This window comes from Homo sapiens, chromosome 11, assembly GCF_000001405.40.
Source record: "Homo sapiens chromosome 11, GRCh38.p14 Primary Assembly".
In the NCBI taxonomy this organism is placed as follows: domain Eukaryota; kingdom Metazoa; phylum Chordata; class Mammalia; order Primates; family Hominidae; genus Homo; species Homo sapiens.
Window position 1 is genome coordinate 65708934 of NC_000011.10, and position 22789 is coordinate 65731722.

The following is a 22789-nucleotide window of genomic DNA, read 5'->3' on the forward strand; positions in this document are numbered from 1 at the left end:
GAGACAGAGTCTCGCTCTGTTGCCGAGGCTGGTCTGTAACTCCTGGGCTCAAGCGATCCTCCCACCTCAGCCTCCCAGTGTTTGGATCACAGCCGTGAGCCACTGGACCAAAAAAAAAAGAAACCTAATATACAAAACAATGGCAGGGTGCGGTGGCCCTAGCACTTTGGGAGGCTGAGGCAGGCGGATTGCAGGCAGGAGTTTGAGGCCAGCCTGAGCAACATCTTTTTCTTTTCTTTCTTTATTTTATTTTATTTATTTTTTGAGATGGAGTCTCTGTCTGTTGCCCAGGCTGGAGTGCACTGGCACAATCTTGGCTCACTGCAACCTCTGCCTCCTGGGTTCAAGCGATTCTCCCGCCTCAGCCTCCTGAATAGCTAGGACTACAGGCAGATGCCACCACGCCCAGCTAATTTTTGTATTTTTAGTAGAGATGTGGTTTCACTATATTGGCCAGGCTGGTCTCGAACTCCTGCCTTGACCTCCCAAAGTGCTGGGATTACAGGAGCGAGCCACTGCGCACGGCCTCTTTTTTTTCCTTCTGAGACACAGTCTTGTTCTGTTGCCCAGGCTGGAGTGCAGTGGCACGATCTTGGCTGACTGAGTAGCTGGGATTACAGGCGGATGCCACCGTGCCCAGCTAACTTTTGTATTTTTAGTAGAGACGGTGTTTTACCATGTTGGCCAGGCTGGTCTTGAACGCCTGACCTCAAGTTGTCCGCCTGCCTCGGTGTCAGAGTTGCATGAACCAGAGCAACTCTATCTTGAATAGAAGCTGGGTAAAATGAGGCCGAGACCTACTAGGCTGCATTCCCAGACGGTTAAGACATTCTAAGTCACAAGATAAGATAGGTCGGTACAAGATACAGGTCATAAAGACCTTGCTGATAAAACAGGTTGCAGTAAGAAAGCCAACTAAAACCCACCAAAACCAAGACGGCCACCAGAGTGACCTCTGGTTGTCCTCACTGCTGCACTCCTACCAGTGCCATGGCAACGGCAGGAAGTTACCGAATATGGTCTAAAAAGGGGAGGCATGAATAATCCGCCCCTTGCTTAGCAGATCATCAAGAAATAACCAGAAAAATGGGCAACCAGCATTGAGTTCCTTTACTTTCCTAACAAACTTGCTTTCACTTTATGGCCTCGCCCTCAATTCTTTTTTTTTTTTTTTGAGACGGAGTCTTGTTCTGTTCCCAGGCTGGAGTGCAGTGGCCTGATCTTGGCTCACTGCAACCTCCGCCTCCTGGGTTCAAGCAATTCTCCAGCCTCAGCCTCCCGAGTAGCTGGGATTACAGGCGCGCACCACCACGCCTGCCTAATTTTTGTATTTTTAGTAGAGATGGGGTTTCATCATGTTGGTCAGGCTGGTCTCGAACTCCTGACCTCAGGTTATCCACCTGCCTGGCCTCCCAAAGTGCTGGACTCGCCCTGAATTCTTTATTGCACGAGATCCAAGAACCCTCTCTTGGGGTCTGGATGGGGACCCCTTTCCTGTAACACTGGGATTATAGGCGTAAGCCACCATGTTCAGCCACCTTTGAGGCAGGAAAATAGGGTCTGGAGGCAGGGAACATATAAGGCTGATTCACACTTCAGTTATGACAGGAAATATCCTCTCCTTAGGGAGTACACCCTAAATGACTTTGTAACTTTACTTCATCCTCTTCATTTACATATGGCATATCCCAAATAACCAATGGAATCCTCCAAAGGGTATTTAAACTCCAACAAATTCTGTAACTGGGCCCTTGAGCACCTATGCTCAGCCGGCCCCAACACTGGAGTGTACTTTCATTTTCAATAAATCGTTCATTCCTTCCTTGCTTTGTGCATTTTGTCCAATTCTTTTTTTTTTTCTTTTTCTTTGAGACAGAGTCTTGCTCTGTCTGGAGTGCAGTGGCGCAATCTCGGCTCACTGCAAGCTCTGCCTCCCGGGTTCACGCCACTCTCCTGCCTCTGCCTCCCGAGTAGCTGGGACTACAGGCGCCTGCCACCACGCCCAGCTAATTTTTTGTATTTATTTTTAGTAGAGACAGGGTTTCACCGTGTTGGCCAGGATGGTCTCAATCTCCTGACCTCGTGATCCGCCCGCCTCGGCCTCCCAAAGTGCTGGGATTATAGGCGTGAGCCACCGCGCCCAGCCGTTTTGTCCCATTATTTTAGATGCCAAGAACCTGTACACCCTCCACCGGTGACACCTTCACAGTTTTGAGGAGTATTCATGGGGTATTTTGTAAAATGTTTCTCAATTGGGATTTGTCTGATGTTTTTCTCATGATTAGACTGGAGGCAGCTGGGATTACAGGTGTGAGCCACCATGCCCAGTCTCCAAACCCTGTTTACACAAAAATTTTAAAAAACTAGCCAGGCTTGGTGGTGCGCGCCTGTAGTCCCAGCTACTAGAGAGCCTGAGGTGGATCACTTGATCCCGGGAGGGGGAGGCTGCAGTGAGCGGAGATTGTGCCTCGCTGGCTGCACTCCAGCCCGGGCGAGAGAGCCAGACCTTGTCTCAAAAAAAAAAAAAAAAAAAAAAAAAGCCTAATATGGCTGAGGGCGGTGGCTCACGCCTGTAATCCCAGTACTTTGTGAGGCCGAGGCGGGCGGATCACGAGGTCAAGAGCTCTAGACCATCCTGGCCAACATGGTGAAACCCCGCCCGTACTAAAAATACAAAAATTAGTTGGGTACTCGGGAGGCTGAGGCAGGAGAATCGCTTGAACCCGGGAGGCGGGGGTTACAGGGAGCTGAGATCGCGCCACTGCACTCCAGCCTGGCGACAGAGCGAGACTCCGTCTCAAAAATAAATATATACAAATTAAAAAAGCCTAATATACAAAATAAAGCTAGGAATCTTCCCTGAGTCCTCTTGCCTACGGAATGAAGTCCACAGACTTGGGGGAGCGTTCGAACCCTTCTAAGGCCACTTCCTTTCTCCAGCCTCTCGCGCCCAGTTGACTCCCGGCAACACCTCCCGCCGCCACAAGGAGACGCCCGAGGACTTCCCTCCGACAAAGCCAAAAACGGTATTGCCACGTGACCCGCTCCGCATACACGTGACCAGCTTCGCACCCGGTGGGCGTCACGTGACGGACTCAGTAGACCGCCACTGGCTGTGCACGTTATGGGGTTTCCACCTAGGGCTCGGCCTGAGGCTTGTAACACTCCGTTTTCCCCCGAGTCACAGGGGCAGTCTTGCCCCTCGCAGCTGGGTCGCGGTGTCTCTCAAAGGTCCCCCTCTACAGGGGCTTCGTGAGGCCCGGGCCCACAGGGCGCTCGGTCCCGGAAGTGACGTCTCCCAGAGGGGCCGGAAGTGGCAGTGGAGGGAGGGAAGATGGCGGAGGTGGTGAGTCCGGTGCCCGGGGCGGGGCGGAGGGAGCCAGGGGAGGTGGGTAGAGCCCGAGGCCCCCCAGTAGCCGACCCTGGCGTCGCGCTGTCTCCCCAGGGGGAGATAATCGAGGGCTGCCGCCTACCCGTGCTGCGGCGGAACCAGGACAACGAAGATGAGTGGCGTGAGTGACGTTGGGGGGCGGGACTAAGGAACCTGAGGGCGAGGGGCGGGAGTCAACTGAAATCCCGGGATGGGGAGGGGCGTCTGGAATTATGGGGCGGGCGAGGCGCAGATACTTTGATGAAGGGGCGTGGCTCTTAGCTGCTCCGAGAGGTACAGGGCGGGGCCTGGAAAGGGGTGGCACTTGTGACTGAAGGAGGCTTAGGAGAGACCTAAGTGCTGGAGCTTAGGGATCCGGCCTGGGGGTGGAGTTCAGGTCGTGGAAGGGTGGAGTCTCATAGCCTGGCCTGTCTAAGGCCCCTGTCTATGCTATTCTCATAGCCCTGGCCGAGATCCTGAGCGTGAAGGACATCAGTGGCCGGAAGCTTTTCTACGTCCATTACATTGACTGTGAGTTCTGGGCCTGAGGTGGGGCATCAGGGTAGGGTTGGGGGACAGTCTTTGGCATTCTGTCCTGAGCCATCCCCACTGCTACAGTCAACAAACGTCTGGATGAATGGGTGACGCATGAGCGGCTGGACCTAAAGAAGATCCAGTTCCCCAAGAAAGAGGCCAAGACCCCCACTAAGAACGGACTTCCTGGGTCCCGTCCTGGCTCTCCAGAGAGAGAGGTGGTGAGTAGGTCCCCCACTTCACCTTTTCTCTCCTGCCTCCTATTTCTCTTGTCTGTTGGCATTAGGAGCTCCTGGATGGGCAGGAGGCGGCTCCCTCTCACCCTGACTTCATCTTGCAAAGGATGGGGGCCAAATTGCACATGTAGCTCCCAGAGTCCAGTAGCTAGTCCTGTGTCCTTCAGAAGGCGAGGGTGGGGTTTGATAATTTTGAGGTGAGGGACCCCTCTTCCCCTTCCCCATCCCACTGCCATCCCCGCCCCAAAGGAAGACCCTGGACCTATCTCTACAGCCGGCCTCGGCGCAGGCCAGCGGGAAGACCTTGCCAATCCCGGTCCAGATCACACTCCGCTTCAACCTGCCCAAGGAGCGGGAGGCCATTCCCGGTGGCGAGCCTGACCAGCCGCTCTCCTCCAGCTCCTGCCTGCAGCCCAACCACCGCTCAACGGTACCCTCAGCAATTCCAGGGACCTTGCTTTCTTCTCAGGTCCCACCTTCTCTACCTTCTGACCCACCTTTGTTGGTTTCTCTCTGCAGAAACGGAAGGTGGAGGTGGTTTCACCAGCAACTCCAGTGCCCAGCGAGACAGCCCCGGCCTCGGTTTTTCCCCAGGTGAGTTCCCCAAACCATCTCTTGTTCTCTTCCTCTCTTCTACTCTCTGGTGGCTTTTTTCAGGCTCATTTCACAGCCATCCCTTCTTTTCCTACTATCTCGGCAGAATGGAGCCGCCCGTAGGGCAGTGGCAGCCCAGCCAGGACGGAAGCGAAAATCGAATTGTTTGGGCACTGATGAGGTGGGTCTGGGGAGCAGCAGAAGGGAACTGGGTGAAAAGGAAGGGATGCAGGCAGGGTGGAGAGTTATTTAGTGATGAGTTTAAAAATAAAGAAGGGGTGGTGGGCAGAGCTAGTGTTGGTGGGATTAGGAGACAGGCAGAACATTGTTCAAATGAGTCATTGGGGCCGGGCACCATGGCTCATACCTGTAATCCCAGCACTTTGGGAGTCCAACCAAGGCTGGTGGATCACCTGAGGTCAGGAGTTTGAGACCAGCCTGGCCAACATGGTGAAACCTTGTTTCTACTAGAAATACAAAAATTAGCCAGGCGTGGTGGCGGGTGCCTGTAATCCAGCTCGGAAAGCTGAGGCAGGAGAACTGCTTGAACCCCGGAGGTGGAGATTGCAGTGAGCCAAGATCGCGCTACTGCCCTCCAGCCTGGGCGACAGACTGAGACTCCATCTAAAAAATGGGGTCATTGGGTGATCTTTTCCACATCATCGATCCTTTAGGGTTTCAGGTTTTTTATCTGGAAATTGGGGATCATGGTACCTCCCCCTTAGGGTTGCTGTTAGGCTTGAAGGAAACCTGTCAAAGGGCTGTGAGCTGTGGTGTCCTGCTGAGCTGTCTCTTACAACCTGGTATTTTCCACTGGCCCTGGGCAGGACTCCCAGGACAGCTCTGATGGAATACCGTCAGCACCACGCATGACTGGCAGCCTGGTGTCTGATCGAAGCCACGACGACATCGTCACCCGGATGAAGAACATTGAGTGCATTGAGCTGGGCCGGCACCGCCTCAAGCCGTGGTACTTCTCCCCGTACCCACAGGAACTCACCACATTGCCTGTCCTCTACCTGTGCGAGTTCTGCCTCAAGTACGGCCGTAGTCTCAAGTGTCTTCAGCGTCATTTGGTATGAGGGGTCCAGGGAGGCTGCCTTCCCAGCACCCTCCACGTTGCCCTTGTTCCTGATCCTCCTCTCTTCCCCAGACCAAGTGTGACCTACGACATCCTCCAGGCAATGAGATTTACCGCAAGGGCACCATCTCCTTCTTTGAGATTGATGGACGTAAGAACAAGGTTAGTGCTTGAGAGGCAGTGAGGCGCTGGGGTGAATCAAATGACAGCTTCTTCTTGCTCAGGTAAACACTGACCAGTCAAGCCAGCAGATCAGTCCAGCCCATTTTTATTGAGTTCCTGCTGTCTGGCAGGTGCTGGTAGCCAGGAATGAGACAGTCTCTGTTCTCTGACAGCTTAGTCCATGGGAGAGACAGTCATACCAATGACCTCTAGCTCCCAGTGTCCTAAGTGTCATGAAACAGAGGGTAGGTTAGCAGGACCCAAAGGAGGTGGTCAGCAGAGCTTCATAGAGGGTTACCTTTCAGCCTTGGTGGATGACAAAGTGGCTGAGGGGATTTCTTGCAGTGGTGTTCTGAAGAGTAGGCATGGATGCACAAAGGTGGTCTTTGTGAAAGGCAGAGATCATTCTGGTTGGGAGGCAGAAAAGGGAGGATGAGGGAAGGCTCGTACATGGGACAGAGCTTAGGTGATGAAGATGCTGTGTTAACCACCATTTTGTAATTATTAATGTGGACCTGGGCATCCAAGTGGCAGTACCCAGCAGCAGGCGGTTAAAAAGCAATTCCTGGGCTGGGCACGGTGGCTCACACCTGTAATCCCAGCACTTTGGGAGGCTGAGGCGGGCGGATCACAAGGTCAGGAGATCGAGACCATCCTGGCTAACACGGTTAAACCCTGTCTCTACTAAAAAGTACAAAAAATTAGCTGGGCGTGGTGGCGGGTGCCTGTAATCCCAGCTACTCGGGAGGCTGAGGCAGGAGAATGGCGTGAACCCAGGAGGCAGAGTTTGCAGTGAGCCGAGATTGCACCACTGCATTCCAGCCTGGGAGACAGCAAGACTTCGTGTAAAAAAAATAAATAAATAAAAAGCAATTTCTGGCTGGGCACAGTGGCTCATACCTGTAACCCCAGCACTTTGGGAGGCCAAGGTGGGCCAATCACTTGAGCCCAGAATTTCGAGACCAGCCTGGGCAACATGGAGAAACCCCCAGGTACTCGGGAGGCTGAGTTGGGAGAATCACCTGAGCCTGGGAAGTCAAGGCTGCAGTGACCCACGATTGCATGATTGCACCACTGCACTCCAGCCTGGGTGACAGGAGTGAGACCCTGTGTCAAAAAAAAAAAAAAAAAACCCACAATGTCTGAAATGCAGGAGAAATCGTGTGCAGAAGTAAAGCAGCAGGATTCATAATTTTGCTGGGGTAAACCCTAAGGCAGTTATTTTGTTAAATTCCAGAATTCCTTAACTCTGTTGTAGAGTAGCAGATCAGTTCCCAGGAGGTGTGACTGTGGATGTAGAATGTTAGGTTTTTTAACAGCTAGACTCCCAAGACTGTTAGATAGGGAGTCAGTGGTCAGAGTCTCACTTTGGACACATTAGTTTGAGGAGCCGTGGTCAGAGTCTCACTTTGGACACATTAGTTCGTTGGCTGCTGTTAAAAAACATTAAAAGGCAGTGGTCTCTCCTGGTCAGGCTTAGAATGGAGGTGTGCGGAGCAAGGCGGGAAACTTGCCTGACTGAGCAGGGAGGCACTCAGACACCATCACACATCTGGCACACAGGCTTTTCAACACTGAGGAGCAGCCCTGCCTAAGCTGCGGGCTGGTGGAGTGGGTCAGGCCCAGCCAGGGAAGAACACTCATCACCTAGCAGCCTGGGGCATAGCACGAACAGTGAAGCTCCTGGTTGACCCTGAACCACTGGCCAGGCTCAAGGCGGGATACCCAGAGTGGTGACAAGCCTTTTCTCTTGCAGAGTTATTCCCAGAACCTGTGTCTTTTGGCCAAGTGTTTCCTTGACCATAAGACACTGTACTATGACACAGACCCTTTCCTCTTCTACGTCATGACAGAGTATGACTGTAAGGGCTTCCACATCGTGGGCTACTTCTCCAAGGTCAGTGCCTGCCCAAGCTGTCCCTGTGCCCTGTCCTGAGCCAGATCCCTTCCCTGACACTCACCTGTCCCCCTTCTCCAGGAGAAAGAATCAACGGAAGACTACAATGTGGCCTGCATCCTAACCCTGCCTCCCTACCAGCGCCGGGGCTACGGCAAGCTGCTGATCGAGTTCAGTGAGTATGTGTGCTGCGGCCAGGGGGTAGTGGACCCACTATCGGTGCCTCACAGGCAGATGGGCCAGGCTACTGTGATTCTCAACCCTGGCTGTGCAGCCCAGCCTCTAGGGGAACCAGCCAGAAATAACAGTGGCACTCTCCCGGGGTTCTCTCCGTTCAGGCTGACTGCCCTGCTTATCTGGGGTAGGTTCTCAGCCCCCCAGTTTGCTCCTTGGCCAGGGTTCTAAGTGCCACTCAGCTTTCCCCAAATCTGACTTACGTGCTCCTGCCTGGAGCCATGGGCAGAAGGTTAGTGAGCCGCTGGTGCTGATGTATCTGGTAACGTGTGCCATGATACGAGTACTGGGGCAAGGACCAGTGGCTAATGTCCCCAGTTGTCCCCTGAGCCTTGCAGGCAGGTATCCAAAATGCTGTCAGCAGATAGACATAAGCATGTTGTCCCTCGCTCCTTGTGTCCAGTGAGGTCAGTCTCTTAAAGCCAGAAGGGACTCTGAACTTCATCACACATGGGCTCTTCAGTGCCCTCCCCAACCCTGAGGCCCCTTCTTCCCAGCCTCTTACTCCCCATCACCCCCCATTCTGTCTGTCTCACCACTCACTTGGAATAACCAAGCTCTGACCTGAGAAACAAGGAGGAAGTTCTAGCTGTTGACCTGGTGAAGACACAGAGGCTTTACCTGATCAAGGTTATGGTCCATTCGAGAAATTTTATTGGTTAAATGATGCCCAGATGGGGTCACATCCTCAGAACTTCTCAGCCTGGTAGCACAAGTGGATGCTTGAAGAAACTCAGTCTTGGAACTCAGACAGCAATGGAGACGGGATGTGAGTGGGACCAGCAAGGGGCTAAGGTCCATTATGAGGGTGAGGAAGGGCTTCTAGAAGTAACAAACATCCCAGGTCCCTGACTGGGGAGAATGAAGACACTGACCAAGAGATGTGAAGCCACTCAGGGCTGTGCAGGGTCTGAGGATCTCACTGGGGACGGCCTCCCAGCGGCCAGCTATCAGCACGAGTTGGAGGGAAAGAGCCATGGTGGGGGTCAGTCACGTGGCTCCCAGGAATGGTCTCCCCGACTTAGGAAGCACCTTGGTGCACCTTTTCTCCTTGCATCCTCACAACCACCCAGTCAGGCCACTCAAGTCTTACAGCAGGTGACACTCCCAAGGTCCCAGCTAGGAGGACTTTGAGAATTCAAGCATTCTCAGGTCTGGATTAGAGACAGGAATCTGTCTCCACTTCCTTACATGGCTAGACACAGAGCCCGGGATGGCAAAGGAAAATTGGAGGCCCCTTCTTCCCATGAGCCATTTTCTCTGCATCCCCTGCCCATAAGCCTTCACTGGCCTCTGATCACCCTCATGGTTGACTGCAGCTGCTCCTCTCAGTGCCCTCATGCCCTCCACTGTGCTCAGCGCACGGAAAGAGTGAATACTCAGTTCTTCCTGAGGGAACTGAGGCACAGAGAAGTGGAGGGCATAGAACTGCCAAGTGGCAGGGCCATGATAGGAACTAGGCAGCCTGCCTTGGCAACCTGTGTTTTTAAATGTTGCTTATGTTCATCTGTGACCTCTTACTCACCCTCTCCTGCTCCATTGCTTTAGGCTATGAACTCTCCAAAGTGGAAGGGAAAACAGGGACCCCTGAGAAGCCCCTCTCAGACCTTGGCCTCCTATCCTATCGAAGCTACTGGTCCCAGACCATCCTGGAGATCCTGATGGGGCTGAAGTCGGAGAGCGGGGAGAGGCCACAGATCACCATCAAGTGAGCCTGGCGCTGTCTACCTGGGGGTACATGGCATGGCTTGTCTGTTCCTGGGCTTTCTCTCTCAGGGCTCCTGGGGACAGATAAAGGTCCTCAGGGAACCTGACCTGTGCTCTCCCACAGTGAGATTAGTGAAATCACCAGCATCAAGAAGGAGGATGTCATCTCCACTCTGCAGTACCTCAATCTCATCAACTACTACAAGGTAGGGAGGCAGGCAGGGGAGACAGGTGTGTGGGATGCAGAGTGCAGTCCTCTGTGGGCTGACCACCTGCTGAACCCATCTCCTCTGCCCAGGGCCAGTACATCCTCACACTGTCAGAGGACATCGTGGATGGCCATGAGCGGGCCATGCTCAAGCGGCTCCTGCGGATCGACTCCAAGTGTCTGCACTTCACTCCCAAGGACTGGAGCAAGAGGGGGAAGTGGTGACCAGACACTGCCCACTGCAGTGCCAAGACGGCAGCAGGACTGGGGCTGATAGCCCACCCCGCCCCCACTGCAGCTCCCACAAAGCACTCTAAGGGAGATGGGGCTGAGGACAGCTCAAAAAGGAGAGGACAGGCCTGGCAGGGGCCCACTGGTGCCCAGCACCAAGGCGAGCTCCGGGCTCAGACCAACTCCAAGGTCAGCTGGCCACAGGCCCAGGCCTCCTCTGAAGCAGGGACCAGAGGGAGCCAGGCAGCTGTGTACAGTGAGAAGGGATCCGGATGGGGGAGCTCTGTACAGAGGGCTGGTGATTGTAAAAATTTCTTTTGTAAAGTAGAAGTTGGGGGTGGGGTGGGTGCTGGCTGCAAAAATTTCTGGCTTCTCTTACCCCTATTGCCCCCGGCAATAAATTGTTTCTATATGCCAGAGCCATGCAAAGTTCTTGGTGGGGAGGGGGAAAGGGCCCATGCTGGCTTAGGGGCTCTAAGGCGCCCAGACTCACAGGTGCTGTGAAGAGCTCCTTTATTGGGGTGATGGAATCGGTTCCAAAGAGCTGGTTTACTGCTGTGAAGGGATCGCAGCTTTGAATTTCAAGCTCTGGTTCTCAGTCCTCGGGCACCTGTGCGTGAATCTGCAACAGGAGTCGCCTCTACTGTTGGACTTGTAAGACAGGGCGGCAAGCTGGCCCCCATACCCGAGGAAGGACCCAGCTGTTCAGAATAACCGCTTCTAGACATGCTAGGAAGAGTGGTCAGGGAGCTACGCTTCCCACACACTACCCAGTAGAATCCTCCAGGCTCCGTCTGCGCAATTGTGCTCCCCAGCCCATCCACCCGGGGGCAAGACGGAACTCCTCGTCTACTCACCGCTGCCGCAAGGCTGGGCCAAGTTAAGGCCCCACGCACTTTGGCATCCGGGCCAGGGATGGTCTCCAGACCCCACAGGGTGAAGCGGCTGAAGTTGGCAGTGGCTCCAATGAAGCGGTCCTGGGGAAGGGGCCTGGCTCAGCATCGGGACTACAGCTCCCGCCCGCACCCCCTTTCAACCCTATCCCTTTGCTCACGAAGTCCCGCTCCAGCGGCTCCTCCTCTTGGTCGTCAGTCCCGGAATCCCGCAAGGGGTCTGGCTTCCCCATCGACACCTTCTTCTCTTCTGTCACCATCACGTATCCCACGAGGCCAGGCGGCACCGCCACCTCCTCTCCCCGTAGACAGCGGCCCCGAAACGACACTTCGAGTCCTGGAGCGGGAGGCGCAAAGGGCCTCAGGCAGGACCCACGCTGGGTCGAGCCCGGAGCTGCCCTCCCGCCACCTCCGGACGGACCACGATCCCCAGGAGCCCAGGCGATGAGAAGCGCGCAGGCCGGCGCGGGGGCTGCCGGGAGCCGTAGTCCGGCCGCAGGGCTCACCCTCGGGGCCCTGGCGGATGGCGGGCGTGAAGAAGCGCCCCACCGGGGCGGGCCCGTCCACCGCAACCTCGCAGGGCAGCAGATGCAGTGTGGCGGGTACGGCGTCGCGCAATGTGGCGGAGCGCAAGTGGACGCGGTGCCTCTCGATGGCCGCTTCGTCGCCGCTCTCCATCCTCCCTCCTACGCGACGCCAGGGCTCGCGAGCTGACACTGAAGCTGGCGCGGAAAGCGCGCAGGACCTCTCAGGAAGCCTCCGCGGGGCCTCACGGGAAGCCGCCGCGGAGCTTCACGGGAAGTGTAGTCCCCTTACCCCCTAACGCTTTCCCTGGGTTCAAGTCCTAGGGTTTTCCAGTTGTGTTTTGTTTTTTTCCTTCCTTCCTTCCCCCCTCCCCTCTTTCCTCCCTCCCCTCTCCCCCTCTCCTTCCCCCTCCCCCCTCCTTCCCCCTCCCCCCTCCCCCTCCTCCCTGCCTCCCTTCCTTCCCCCCTTCCCTTCCCTTCCTTCCCGTCCTTCCCTCTTTCTTTCTTTTTCTTATTTATTATTATTTTTTTTTGACAGAGTCTCGTTTTGTCGCCCAGGCTGGAGTGCCAGGCACGGTCTCAGCTCACTGCAACCTCCGCCTCCCGGGTTCAAGCGATTCTCCTGCCTCAGCCTCCGGAGTAGCTGGGATTACAGGCGCACACCACCATGCCCACCTAATTTTTGTATTTTTAGTAGAGACTGGGTTTCGCCATGTTGGCCAGGCTGGTCTCGAACTCCTGACCTCAGGCGATCCTCCAGCCTCGGCCTTCTGAAGTACTTGGATTACAGGCGTGAGACACCGCCCCCAGCCGGGTTTTTTTCTTTTATTGTTTTTAATGGCACATGTCGTTGTAAAAATCTAAAACGATTCTGAAAAGTACTCTTTTTATATTGATTAGTAGGTAGGTTATTCATTTTTAGTTTATTAGGGACATCAACCCTTTTCTTAAATGCATTGAAAATGTTTTATCTGTGGTCTGTCTTGCAAACCTGTGTAAAGGTGATTTTTGCTGGACAAGGACTTATTTTTGTGGTTGTTTGGTCTTTTAGACAAGGTCTCACTCGCCTAGGCTGGAGTGCAGTGGTTTGATTGGCTCACTGCAGCCTCGACCTCCCAGGCTTAATCCATCCCCCATCCTCAGCTTCCTGTGTAGCTGGAACCACAGGCCTGCGCCACCACGCAGCTAATTTTTGTATTTTTGGTAGAGGTGGAGTTTTGCCATGTTGCCCAGGCTGGTCTTGAACTCCTGGACTCAAGTGATCTGCCCACCTTGGCCTCCCAAATCACGCTGGAATTACAGGCGTGAGCCACTGCACCCAGGACAAAGACTAATTTTTTGTAGTCAAATTTATCAACACTTTTCAGTCTTTTAGATTTCACAATTTTCTCTCTTTGGTTTCTCAGCTCTTCTCTAATGTTTATTTGTTCAGACACCCAACTTAGATATATTTTTTCAAGTTCTCACATAAAACAAACACAAAACTGGAAATTTAGATTTAAATTGCGTTTAATTTATACATCCCTGCACATCTGGGAGCTGGCCTTGGTATTCTGTTGAATATAAACAATTTCAGAGAACATCAGCATCGGACAAGGTCACTCTGTGACCGTGAGGGAGCAAGACAGAAACAGAACCACTCCATCGTCACATCTGAATGCTGGCAAAGGTGAACACTGTCCAAACCACAAAAGGCATGAAACATCCCTCTTTCTCCCATAAGAGAGTGACTGTTGTTTCCTTACCAATTACAGCATTAGCCTCCAACTAATCTTCTCTCCTTCTGGGCAAGACTCATTAAGATAGTCCGTCATAGACATACCCCCACCTCTGACAGCATCCAAGCCAGAGAGAAGCCTGGCTTCCCTAAACCCTGACTGAAATCACTGAACATGGGCACAAATCCTCCTATAAGTCCTTTCTAGCACCCTCTTATTGAAATTCCCCAGAGTGCAGGAGTAATATACCCAATTTGTTCAACTGCAGATGTATTCCTGGTGCTCTTTCACTAGAGTGGCAGATTAATTTAGAAAAAGGCTTGCTTTAGTTTTCTATCAGGAAAGACATAATTCAATTTATTCACATCTCCTTGGATATCTGTACAGTTGTGAGGTTTTGTTCATATATAATAGCTATTAATACATATTGTAAAGTTTATTTCTTCTTAGCTTATATTAATAATTGTTTCTATTAAGAACTGAGGGGCTGGGCATGATGATTCACACCTGTAATTCCAGTGCTTTAGGAGGCCAAGATGGGGGAGGATTGCTTGAAGCCAGGAGTTTGAGACCGGCCTGGGAAACATAGCAAGACTCCGTTCCTACAAAGAAAAAAATTTTTTTAAACATGAGTGGGGCACAGTGGCATGTGCCTGTAGTCCCAGCTACTCAAGAAGCTAAGGTGGGAAGATCACTTAAGCCAAGGAGTTTGAGGCTGCCGTTCGAGTCACGATTGCACCACTGCACACCAGCCTGGGTTACGGAGGGAGACCCTTTCTCTAAAAACCAAAATTGGGGCTTTTATTTTTTTCATTTTATTTTCTAACTGATTTTCTTTTTAATCTATAGCAGGGGTTGGCAAACTTTTTCTGTAAGGGGTCAAATAGTAAATATTTTAGGTTTTGTGGACTTTATGGCTTCTGTCGCAGCTACTCAACTTCACCGTTATAGCATGAAAGCAGTCATAGACAATACATAAATGAATGAGCGTTGTTGTGTTCCAGTAAATCTTTGCAGAAACAGACAAGGGGTTGGATTTGAACCACAGGCCATAGTTTTCAGACCCCTTGTCTATAGCAAACCTGTTGATTTTTATATGTCCATTTTTAAACTAGATATCGACTGAATTATTTTGTTCCTAATGATTTTTATTTTATTTTAAGATCCCCAGAATTAGTCACCTCTCTTTCAAATAATAATTTTTACCTCACCATTACATCTTCTTTTTGTTTTTTGTTTTTTGTTTTTTTTTTTTCATTACACCTTGTAATTTGTTTTCTTTTCTAATTGCCTTGGCCAGTACTTGCAGAACAGTCTCTCAAATGTTACTGGTATCAGAGGACAACATTGTCTTTTTCCTGAAACTTTCACGGGAGTGCTTCTGCTGTTTCACCAATAATCATGAAACTGCCTTTTGACTTGTTATATATGTCTCATTAAAGCTGTACTACTAAGAGCTTTTAAAAATTGGGAGTAGATGTTGGATCTTATTTTTTATTTTTATGTTTTTGGTTTTGCAAGTTTCCTGTAGTCTGGATATTAGTAATTGCATTCCTATAGTGTCAAGGTAATCTATACCTGTATTTTCTGTAATTACATCTAGAAGCTTAATTCGATTCTTTGGGGAGGGGAGAGGGCAAGACTACTTCATGGGTGGTTTTGTGTTTTTCCCTCTTTTTGTGAGGTTAGCAGCCATAGATGATCATTGCCTAGATCCTTTAATTCATTAGAGGTTAAAACGCGTGTGTACGCGCACACACACACACACACACACATATTTTTGGGACAGAGTCTCACCTGGTAGCCCAGGCTGGAGCGCGGTGGCGCGATCTTGGCTCACTCAGCTCAACCTCTGTCTCCCGGGTTCAAGCAATTCTCCTGCCTTGGCCTCCTGAGTAGCTGGGATTACAGGCGCATGCCACCATGCCAGGCTAATTTTTGTATTTTTAGTAGAGATGGGGTTTTACCATGTTGGCCAGGCTGGTCTCCAAATCCTTACCTCAAGTGATCTGCTCCCCTCCCTTGGGCTCCCAAAGTGCTGGGATCACAGGCGTGAGGCATGGTGCCCAGCCTAAAACTGATATTCTAAGTCCTCTCATTTCTTCTTCATTTACTAGCTGAAATAGGTCTATAAAGAAAAACTCTCCCCATCAGCCATTTGATTGCCTGTTGGTACAGTGAGGATAAGAAAGACAAAATAATTAGGCCGGGCACAGTGGCTCACACCTGTAATCCCAGCACTTTGGGAAGCTGAGGTGGGTGGATCACTTGAGGTCAGGAGTTCGGGACCAGCCTGGCCAACACGGTGAAACCTTATCTCTACTAAAAAATACAAAAATTAGCCGGGCGTGGTGGCGCATGCCTGTAATCCCAGCTACTCAGGAGGCTGAGGCAGGAGAACTGCTTGAACCCGGGAGGTGGAGGTTGCAGTGAACTGAGATCGAGCCACTGCACTCCAGCCTGGGTGACAGAGCGAGACTGCATCTCAAAAAAATCCTTTTATTTTCCAGTTCTTAAAATAATGATTTGTTGCCCTAGCATATTCCAATGGTGACCTTTTAAAAATGTTAAATAAATATTAAATAAATAAATATAAATAAAAATAATAAATAATGGATTAACACTTTTATGTTTCACATAATTGTGGTTATTATTCTTACTGAGGTGCAAATTTCCCCATCTTCTGCCAGTGGAAGCCTCTTCAAGTTATCTCCTGAATCTTTCGATATGACCCTAGTGATCTTTTATACATATCTTTGTTTTCCAGTACCACAAGATGTTCCTGGCTCATCTTGTACATTTCCTGCCCCAGACTTGGAATTATACATCTCTCCAAAGATCGCTGGTTCCCTTCAGTGGGAAATGATATTTAGTAATCCAATCTGATACTAGATGTATTCATTGCTACTGAGTTAGCCTTTGTTTCTAGATATTTCCAGTGGACAAAGCTAGGAAATACGCATTTTTTTCCTCTCCTTTTTTTTTTTTTTTTTTTTGAGACAGAGTCCGCTCTGTCAGCCAGGCTGGAGTGCAGTGGCACAATCTCGGCTCACTGCAACCTCCGTCTCCTGGGCTCAAGCAATTCTCCTGATTCTCCTGCCTCAGCCTCCCGAGTAGCTGGGATTACAGGCGCCCACCACCATGCCCGGCTGATTTTTTTATATTTATTTATTTATTTTTGAGACGCAGTCTCACTCTGTCAGCCAGGTTGGAGTGCAATGGTGAGATCTCGGCTCACTGCAACCTCTGCCTCCCAGGTTCAAGCAATTCTCCTGCCTCAGCCTCCCGAGTAGCTGGGACTACAGGCGCCCGCCACCACGCCCGGCTAATTCTTTGTGTGTTTAGTAGAGACGGGGTTTCACCGTGTTCGCCAGGATGGTCTCGATCTCCTGACCTCGTGATCCGCCCGCCTTGGCCTCCCAAAGTGCTGGGATTACAGGCGTGAGCCACCGCGCCCGGCCAGGAGGCTTAGTCTTAATAAAAACTTGGAAAGAAAGATTCCCCTGAGGATCAATTACAACCGAAATGACAGAGCCCCTATCAGGTGTTGTTGAGTATCCCCTCTGCTGCTAAACTTCAGGGAATAACTTGTTGGGTACACCTGTCTAGGATTAAACCTGTTTCTTATGAGTCACAGGCACAAAAGCAGGATACCACGACCTACATCTGTGAACCTTTGGAGGACCTCTGCTACCTATTTAAAAGAATCAATATTCAGCCATAAGTGGTAACGTGACGCCGTGGGTGGGAACATTTTTCTCTTCTTCCTGATTGTAATACTTCTTTTCTGTCGCTTTGGGCAACTACCTCCTCCCAGGAAACATCTCTTGTCCTTGTTGGGTGTAGAGGCCACTCTAAGGCCCAGGTGGATACCATGTGCCACTGTTAATCCTGTTGCTCTCCCAATTAACCTAATCCTGTGTAAGTGGGAACAAAACTTTATAGTAAATATTTCAAAAATTATAGCTTTAGGAAATCATCTTCATGGTTGCTGGATTTGTCATCAACATCCCCAGGATAGAGAATTTCACCTTCTGGCCGATCCAAAAACTCTCTTGGCTAACTCCCTAGCCCTCTTCACCATCCATAGCAATCTCAAAGTACCCAGACCCCGACCATTAGGTGGAAATTTCTGTCGTGCACTTGATGGATTCTACCTGAAATCCCCCACCACTATTGCCTGGACCTGGGAAGGCGTATGTCTAGATCTCCAGGGCACTCATGATTCTATCAAGGCATGTATCTAGATCTCTAGGGCACTCATGATTCTGTCAAGGCGTGTATCTAGATCTCCAGGGCACTAATGATTCTATCTTTTGCAACCACTGTTGTGTTAATGACACAAAAGTGGAAGTTTCCCCACAATGCTGTGACCCAACTGTAGTTGCCAAGTTCCCAAGGCCACAGCAAGATAAATAAGATTCCACTTGTGAGCAAGGAGACCATATACAGTGCCTTCTCCCAGAGCAGAACATACAGAGAAAAAAACAACTGCCTAATCTGGGAAGGTGAGATTACCGCCCCCTTCTGGAAAACAAGGGCTGACCTAGAGGAAGCTTCTCCATCCTTGAATCTACATCTGGTTCGGCCTGCCTACCTCCACTCCTGCCTCCATCGTGTCCATCACGGTGACCCAGAAGCCCTACAAGGCATCCATCTCTGGCCCCTGGGCCTTCAGCAGCCGCTCCTACACCAGTGGTCCCGGTGCCCACATCAGCTCCTTGAGCTTCTCCCAAGTGGGCAGCAGCAGCAGCTTCTGGAGTGGCCTAGGCACCAGCATGAGTCTGGGTGGTGGCTATGGTGGGGCAGTGGTATGGGGTGGGGGTGGGCGACACAGCCATCATGGTGAACCAGAGTCTGCTGAGCCCCCTTAAGCTGGACCTGGACCCCAATATCCAGGCTGTGCATACCCAGGAGAAGGAGCAGATCAAGACCCTCAACAAGTTTGCCTCCTTCATCGACAAGGTGCAGTTCCTGGAGCAGCAGAACAAATGCTGGAGACTAAGTGGAGCATCCTGCAGCAGCAGAAGACAGCTGGGAGCAACATGGACAGCGTGTTTGAGAGCCACATCCACAGCCTTGGGCAGCAGCTGGACACTGGGCCAGGAGAAGCTGAAGGTGGAGGCAGATCTTGGCAACACGCAGGGGCTGCTGGAAGACTTCAACGATAAGTACCAGGATGAGATCAACGAGCGGACAGAGATGGGGAATGAATTTGCCTTCATCGAGAAGGATGTGGATGGAGCTTACATGAACAAGGCAGTGCTGGAGTCTCACCTGGAAGGGCTGACTGACAAGATCAACTTCCCCAGAGAGCTGTGTGAAGAGGAGATCTGGAAGCTGCAGTCCCAGATCTCGGACACGTCTGTGTGCTGTCCATGGACAACAGCCACTCCCTGGACGTGGATGGCATCATCGCGGAGGTCAACGCCCAGTACGAGGAGATCGCCCACTGCGGCCAGGCAAGGCTAAGAGTCTGCACCAGGTCAAGGATGAGGAGTTGCAGACACTGGCTGGGAAGCACGGGGATGACCTGCGTCGCGGGAAGATGGAGAACTCTGAGATGATCCGCAACATCAGCGGGGTCCATGCTGAGATTGAGGGCCTCAGAGGCCATCGCGGATGCTGAGCAGCGTGGGGAGCTGGTGGAGCTGGAGGCTGCCCTGTAGCAGGCCAAGCAGGACCTGGCGCCGGCCAAGCAGGACCTGGCGCCGCAGCTGCTTAAGTAGACAGCTGAGCTCGGCCTCCCGGGGCCTCACAAGCCCTGGCCTCAGCTACGGCCTGGGCCCCAGCCTTGACTCTGGCAGGGATTTCAGCTCCTTCAGCCGCACCAGCTCCTCCAGGACCATGGTTGGGAAGCTGGTGTCCGAGTCCTCTGATGTCCTGCCCAAGCGAACAACTATGGCAGTCCCTCCCAGCCTACCCCCTCTTGCAGCTGCCCCAGAGCTTGTGGGGGAGGCTGCTGTGCAGGAAAGCGCAGGGAACAGGAGACCCACTTGAGGCTCAGCCCTCCTCCACAGCCCACTTGTGTGGGGTAACTCCCTTGCCCATGCCTCCATCACAAAACAATTCCACTGTTTTGTTTTGTTTTGTTTTGTTTTTTCAAGATAAAGCCTCAGCTAGCTCTGTCAACTGTCAAAAAGCAAAAAACAAACAAAACCCAGAAAACCCTACCAGGGTTGTTTGGTCCTCCCCGTTGGAATGGGGGGAGATATCTTGTATCTCCACAGACCCAACTTAGTGGCTAAAGATAGGCATCACACCTCACAGGGCCTCTATTGCACCCCAAATGGGTTCGTTTTCATTTGTGGTCATAAGTGGGAAGAAGTCACATCCCATAACCACTCCTAACTCCCCAGAGGACCTCCTGTTCTTTTAGGAGTAGCTTTCCTTTGTATATCAAAAACTTGGAACAGGGGTGAGTGTATGTTGGCCACCCTTTGGCCTTCCGGGGGTCACCATATAAAACCCTGTAAGACCGAGGAATACCAGAAATGAATGATCAATAGGATTAATTCTGACATGAACTGGAGTGGCATTAGAACTAGTGGCCCCCTGGGGTGGCTTTGCCTACCATGAGTTGGCCCTAAAGAACTGACTCAAACCCTGGAATCATTAGCCACCAACACAGGTCAGGCATTAAAAGGAATTCAGGGATTCCTAGACTCTTTGGCAAATGTAGTTCTTGATAAGAGACTAGCATTGGATTATTTACTAGCTGAACAAGGTGGAGGCTGTGCAGTTATGAATAAAACCTGGACAGGTTGAGATTAACATTCACACGATCTATCAGCAATCTATCTGGTCACATAGATGCTGGGTCACTGACTCCAGCTATATCTGCTCGATTATCAAAAATGCCCTCCCGGCCGGGCACAGTGGCTCATGTCTGTAATCCCAGCACTTGGGAGGCCGAGGCAAGTGAATTGCCTGAAGTCAGGAGTTCGAGACCAGCCTGGCCAACATGGTGAATCCCTGTGTCTACTAAAAATACAAAAATTAGACGTACGTGGTGGCGGGCGCCTGTAATCCCAGCTACTTGGGAGGCTGAGGCAGGAGAATTGCTTGAACCCGGGAGGCAGAGGTTGCAATGAGCTGAGATCGCGCCATTGAACTCCAGCCTGGGCAACAAGAGCAAGACTTCATCTCAAAAAAAAAAAAAAAAAACCCCTCCCAAGTCTCACTTGGTTCTTACCTCTCCTAGGACCTTTGATAGCTGTCTTGTTATTACTAATCTTTGGCCCTTGCTTTTTTAACCTCTTTTTTTTTTGAGATGGAGTTTTGCTCTTTGTTGCCCAGGCTAGAGTGCAATGGCACGATCTCAGCTCACTGCAACCTCCCCCTCCTGGGTTCAAACGATTCTCCTGCCTCAGCCTCCTGAGTAGCTGGGATTACAGGTGTGAGCCACCACACCTGGCTAATTTTTGAATTATTAGTAGAGATGGGGTTTCACCATGTTGTTTCACCATGGGCTGGTCTCGAACTCCTGACCTCAGGTGATCTGCCCACCTCGGCCTCCCAAAGTGCTGGAATTATAGGCATGAGCCACCACTCCCGGCCTGCTTGTTTAACCTCTTAATAAAGTTTGTGTCTTCTAGGTTACAACAGTTCCAGGTAAAGACAATGCTGGCACAAGGTTTCTAACCCATCCATCTTCTGACCTAGAGAATGAAAGCATCCTGCCTTTGGGCCGCCTTGGGTCAGGTATCTGGAGATTTTTACTCCTCTAGTGCTATGCAGGGCCTATTCCCATGAACTCAGCAGGGAGCAGTTACAGAACATGGACCTCCACCCTTTTGCAACCCCTTTCAGATTAAGGAGGAGTATCTGATCTCTGAGGGGAGAATGAGGTAGGAGGCAGGTGGGACTCGACTGTGGGCCAGGTTGAAGACTGGTTGAAACTGGGAAGAGTCTGTGTGTGGTGGCTCATGCCTGTAATGCCAGCACTTTGGGAGGCCGAGCCGGGTACATCACTTGAGGCCAGGAGTTCAAGACCAGCCTGGCCAATATGGTGAAACACCGTCTCTACTAAAAATATAAAAAATTATACAAAAATTAGCCAGGTGTGGTGGCGGGCGCCTGTAGTCCCAGATACTCAGGAGGCTGAGACAGGAGAATCACTTGAACCTGGGAGACGGAGGTTGCAGTGAGCTGAGATTTCATCACTGCACTCCAGCCTGGCTCCATTTCAAAAGAAAAGAAACTGGGAAGAGACACTGAAGGCACCTTTCCATAAGACATGCCCACTAACGCCATGACTGTTTACCATTGCCATGGCAACACCTGAAAGTTACTGCCCATTTTTGAGCTATTTTAAAATAACCGACCCCTTAATTAGCATACCATTAAGAGTGGGTATAAATATAACTGCAAAAGTGCCCCTAGGCTGCTACTCTCAGCACACTGCCTATGAGGTAGCCCTGCATGGCAGGAGCAGTCACGGAGCTGTGACGTTGCCACTGCTTCAATAAAGCTGTTTTCTTCTACCCCCGGCTTGCTCTTGAATTCCTTCCTGAGTGAAGCCAAGAATTTGCCCTGCCTCACCTTGAGATACCATAAACATTTTAGGATGGTTATTTAAGAAATGTCAGTGAAAAACATCATCATGACTTTGATAGGGATTGCATTGAATATGTAGATTGCTTTGGGTAGTATTCACATCTTAGCAATATTAACTCTTCCAATCCACAAACATGGGAAGTGTTTCCATTAATTTATGTCTTCTTTAATTTCTTTCAGCAATGTTTTGTAGTTTCTATTGTATAAGTCGTTTACCTGTTGGTTAATTCCTAAATATTTTATTTTATTTAATTATTTGATTTATTTTATTTTATTTTATTTTATTTTTTGAGATGGAGTTTCCCTCTTGTCGCCCAGGCTGGAGTGCAGTGGCACGATCTCGGCTCACTGCAACCTCCGCCTCCTGGGTTCAAGCGATTCTCCTGCCTCATTCTCCCGAGTAGCTGGGATCACAGGCGCCTGCCACCATGCCTGGCTAATTTTTGTATTTTTAGTAGAGACAGGGTTTTGCCATGTTGGCCAGGCTGGTCTTGAACTCCTGACCTCAGGTGATCCACCCGCCTCAGCCTCCCAAAGTGCTGGGATTACAGGCATAAGCTACCGCACCCGGCCAATATTTAATTCTTTTGAATGCATTGTAAATGGAATTGTTTTTAAATTTCCTTTTCAGATTGTTAGCACATAGAAATGCGACTTTTTATGTGTTTACGTTGTATGTGCTACTTTGTTGAAATCATTTATTAATTCTAACAGTTTTTTTTTTTTGATGTGTGGAACCTTTAGAATTTTCTACATAAAAGATCATATCAGGCCTGAGCCTGGTGGCTTATAACAGTAATCATAGCAAATTGGGAGGCTGGGGTGGGAGAATCACATGAGG

General features: G+C 50.9%; 2 protein-coding genes and 1 pseudogene across 8 annotated transcripts, besides 6 other annotated features; 2 read left to right on the forward strand and 1 right to left on the reverse strand.

The window, feature by feature from the left end:
* Positions 2875-2994: an enhancer, noted in NCBI's record as "active region_5001". NCBI's record gives its function as "activates an Ori minimal core promoter by ATAC-STARR-seq in GM12878 lymphoblastoid cells {active_cell/tissue: GM12878}" and the evidence as "EXISTENCE:reporter gene assay evidence [ECO:0000049][PMID:35858748]".
* Positions 3025-3334: an enhancer, noted in NCBI's record as "active region_5002". NCBI's record gives its function as "activates an Ori minimal core promoter by ATAC-STARR-seq in GM12878 lymphoblastoid cells {active_cell/tissue: GM12878}" and the evidence as "EXISTENCE:reporter gene assay evidence [ECO:0000049][PMID:35858748]".
* On the forward strand, positions 3085-10671 carry KAT5 (lysine acetyltransferase 5). 7 transcript variants are annotated; one of them, XM_006718421.4, is made up of 14 exons: positions 3319-3346; positions 3446-3512; positions 3833-3901; positions 3989-4125; positions 4388-4570; positions 4660-4734; positions 4841-4915; positions 5562-5810; positions 5888-5977; positions 7734-7874; positions 7956-8049; positions 9657-9816; positions 9940-10021; positions 10114-10671. In XM_006718421.4, the coding sequence occupies exons 1-14, from the start codon at positions 3335-3337 to the stop codon at positions 10246-10248; spliced, it is 1569 nt and encodes a 522-aa protein (XP_006718484.1). In that variant the 5' UTR covers positions 3319-3334; the 3' UTR covers positions 10249-10671. The 7 variants fall into 7 exon arrangements, with proteins under 7 accessions (XP_047282209.1, XP_006718484.1, NP_006379.2 ...); NM_006388.4 differs by having other exon boundaries at positions 4415-4570; NM_182710.3 differs by having other exon boundaries at positions 3319-3512; positions 4415-4570.
* Positions 3365-3554: a silencer, noted in NCBI's record as "silent region_3551". NCBI's record gives its function as "represses an Ori minimal core promoter by ATAC-STARR-seq in GM12878 lymphoblastoid cells {active_cell/tissue: GM12878}" and the evidence as "EXISTENCE:reporter gene assay evidence [ECO:0000049][PMID:35858748]".
* Positions 3565-3644: a silencer, noted in NCBI's record as "silent region_3552". NCBI's record gives its function as "represses an Ori minimal core promoter by ATAC-STARR-seq in GM12878 lymphoblastoid cells {active_cell/tissue: GM12878}" and the evidence as "EXISTENCE:reporter gene assay evidence [ECO:0000049][PMID:35858748]".
* Positions 8740-11865, reverse strand: RNASEH2C (ribonuclease H2 subunit C). The gene is made up of 4 exons (NM_032193.4): positions 11654-11865; positions 11309-11484; positions 11112-11231; positions 8740-10876 (listed from the first exon to the last, which is right to left on the reverse strand). Exons 1-4 carry the CDS (start codon positions 11823-11825, stop codon positions 10850-10852), a joined length of 495 nt encoding a protein of 164 aa, NP_115569.2. The 5' UTR covers positions 11826-11865; the 3' UTR covers positions 8740-10849.
* Positions 11551-11790: a silencer, noted in NCBI's record as "silent region_3553". NCBI's record gives its function as "represses an Ori minimal core promoter by ATAC-STARR-seq in GM12878 lymphoblastoid cells {active_cell/tissue: GM12878}" and the evidence as "EXISTENCE:reporter gene assay evidence [ECO:0000049][PMID:35858748]".
* Positions 11941-12010: an enhancer, noted in NCBI's record as "active region_5003". NCBI's record gives its function as "activates an Ori minimal core promoter by ATAC-STARR-seq in GM12878 lymphoblastoid cells {active_cell/tissue: GM12878}" and the evidence as "EXISTENCE:reporter gene assay evidence [ECO:0000049][PMID:35858748]".
* KRT8P26 (keratin 8 pseudogene 26) lies at positions 17931-19082 on the forward strand (annotated as a pseudogene).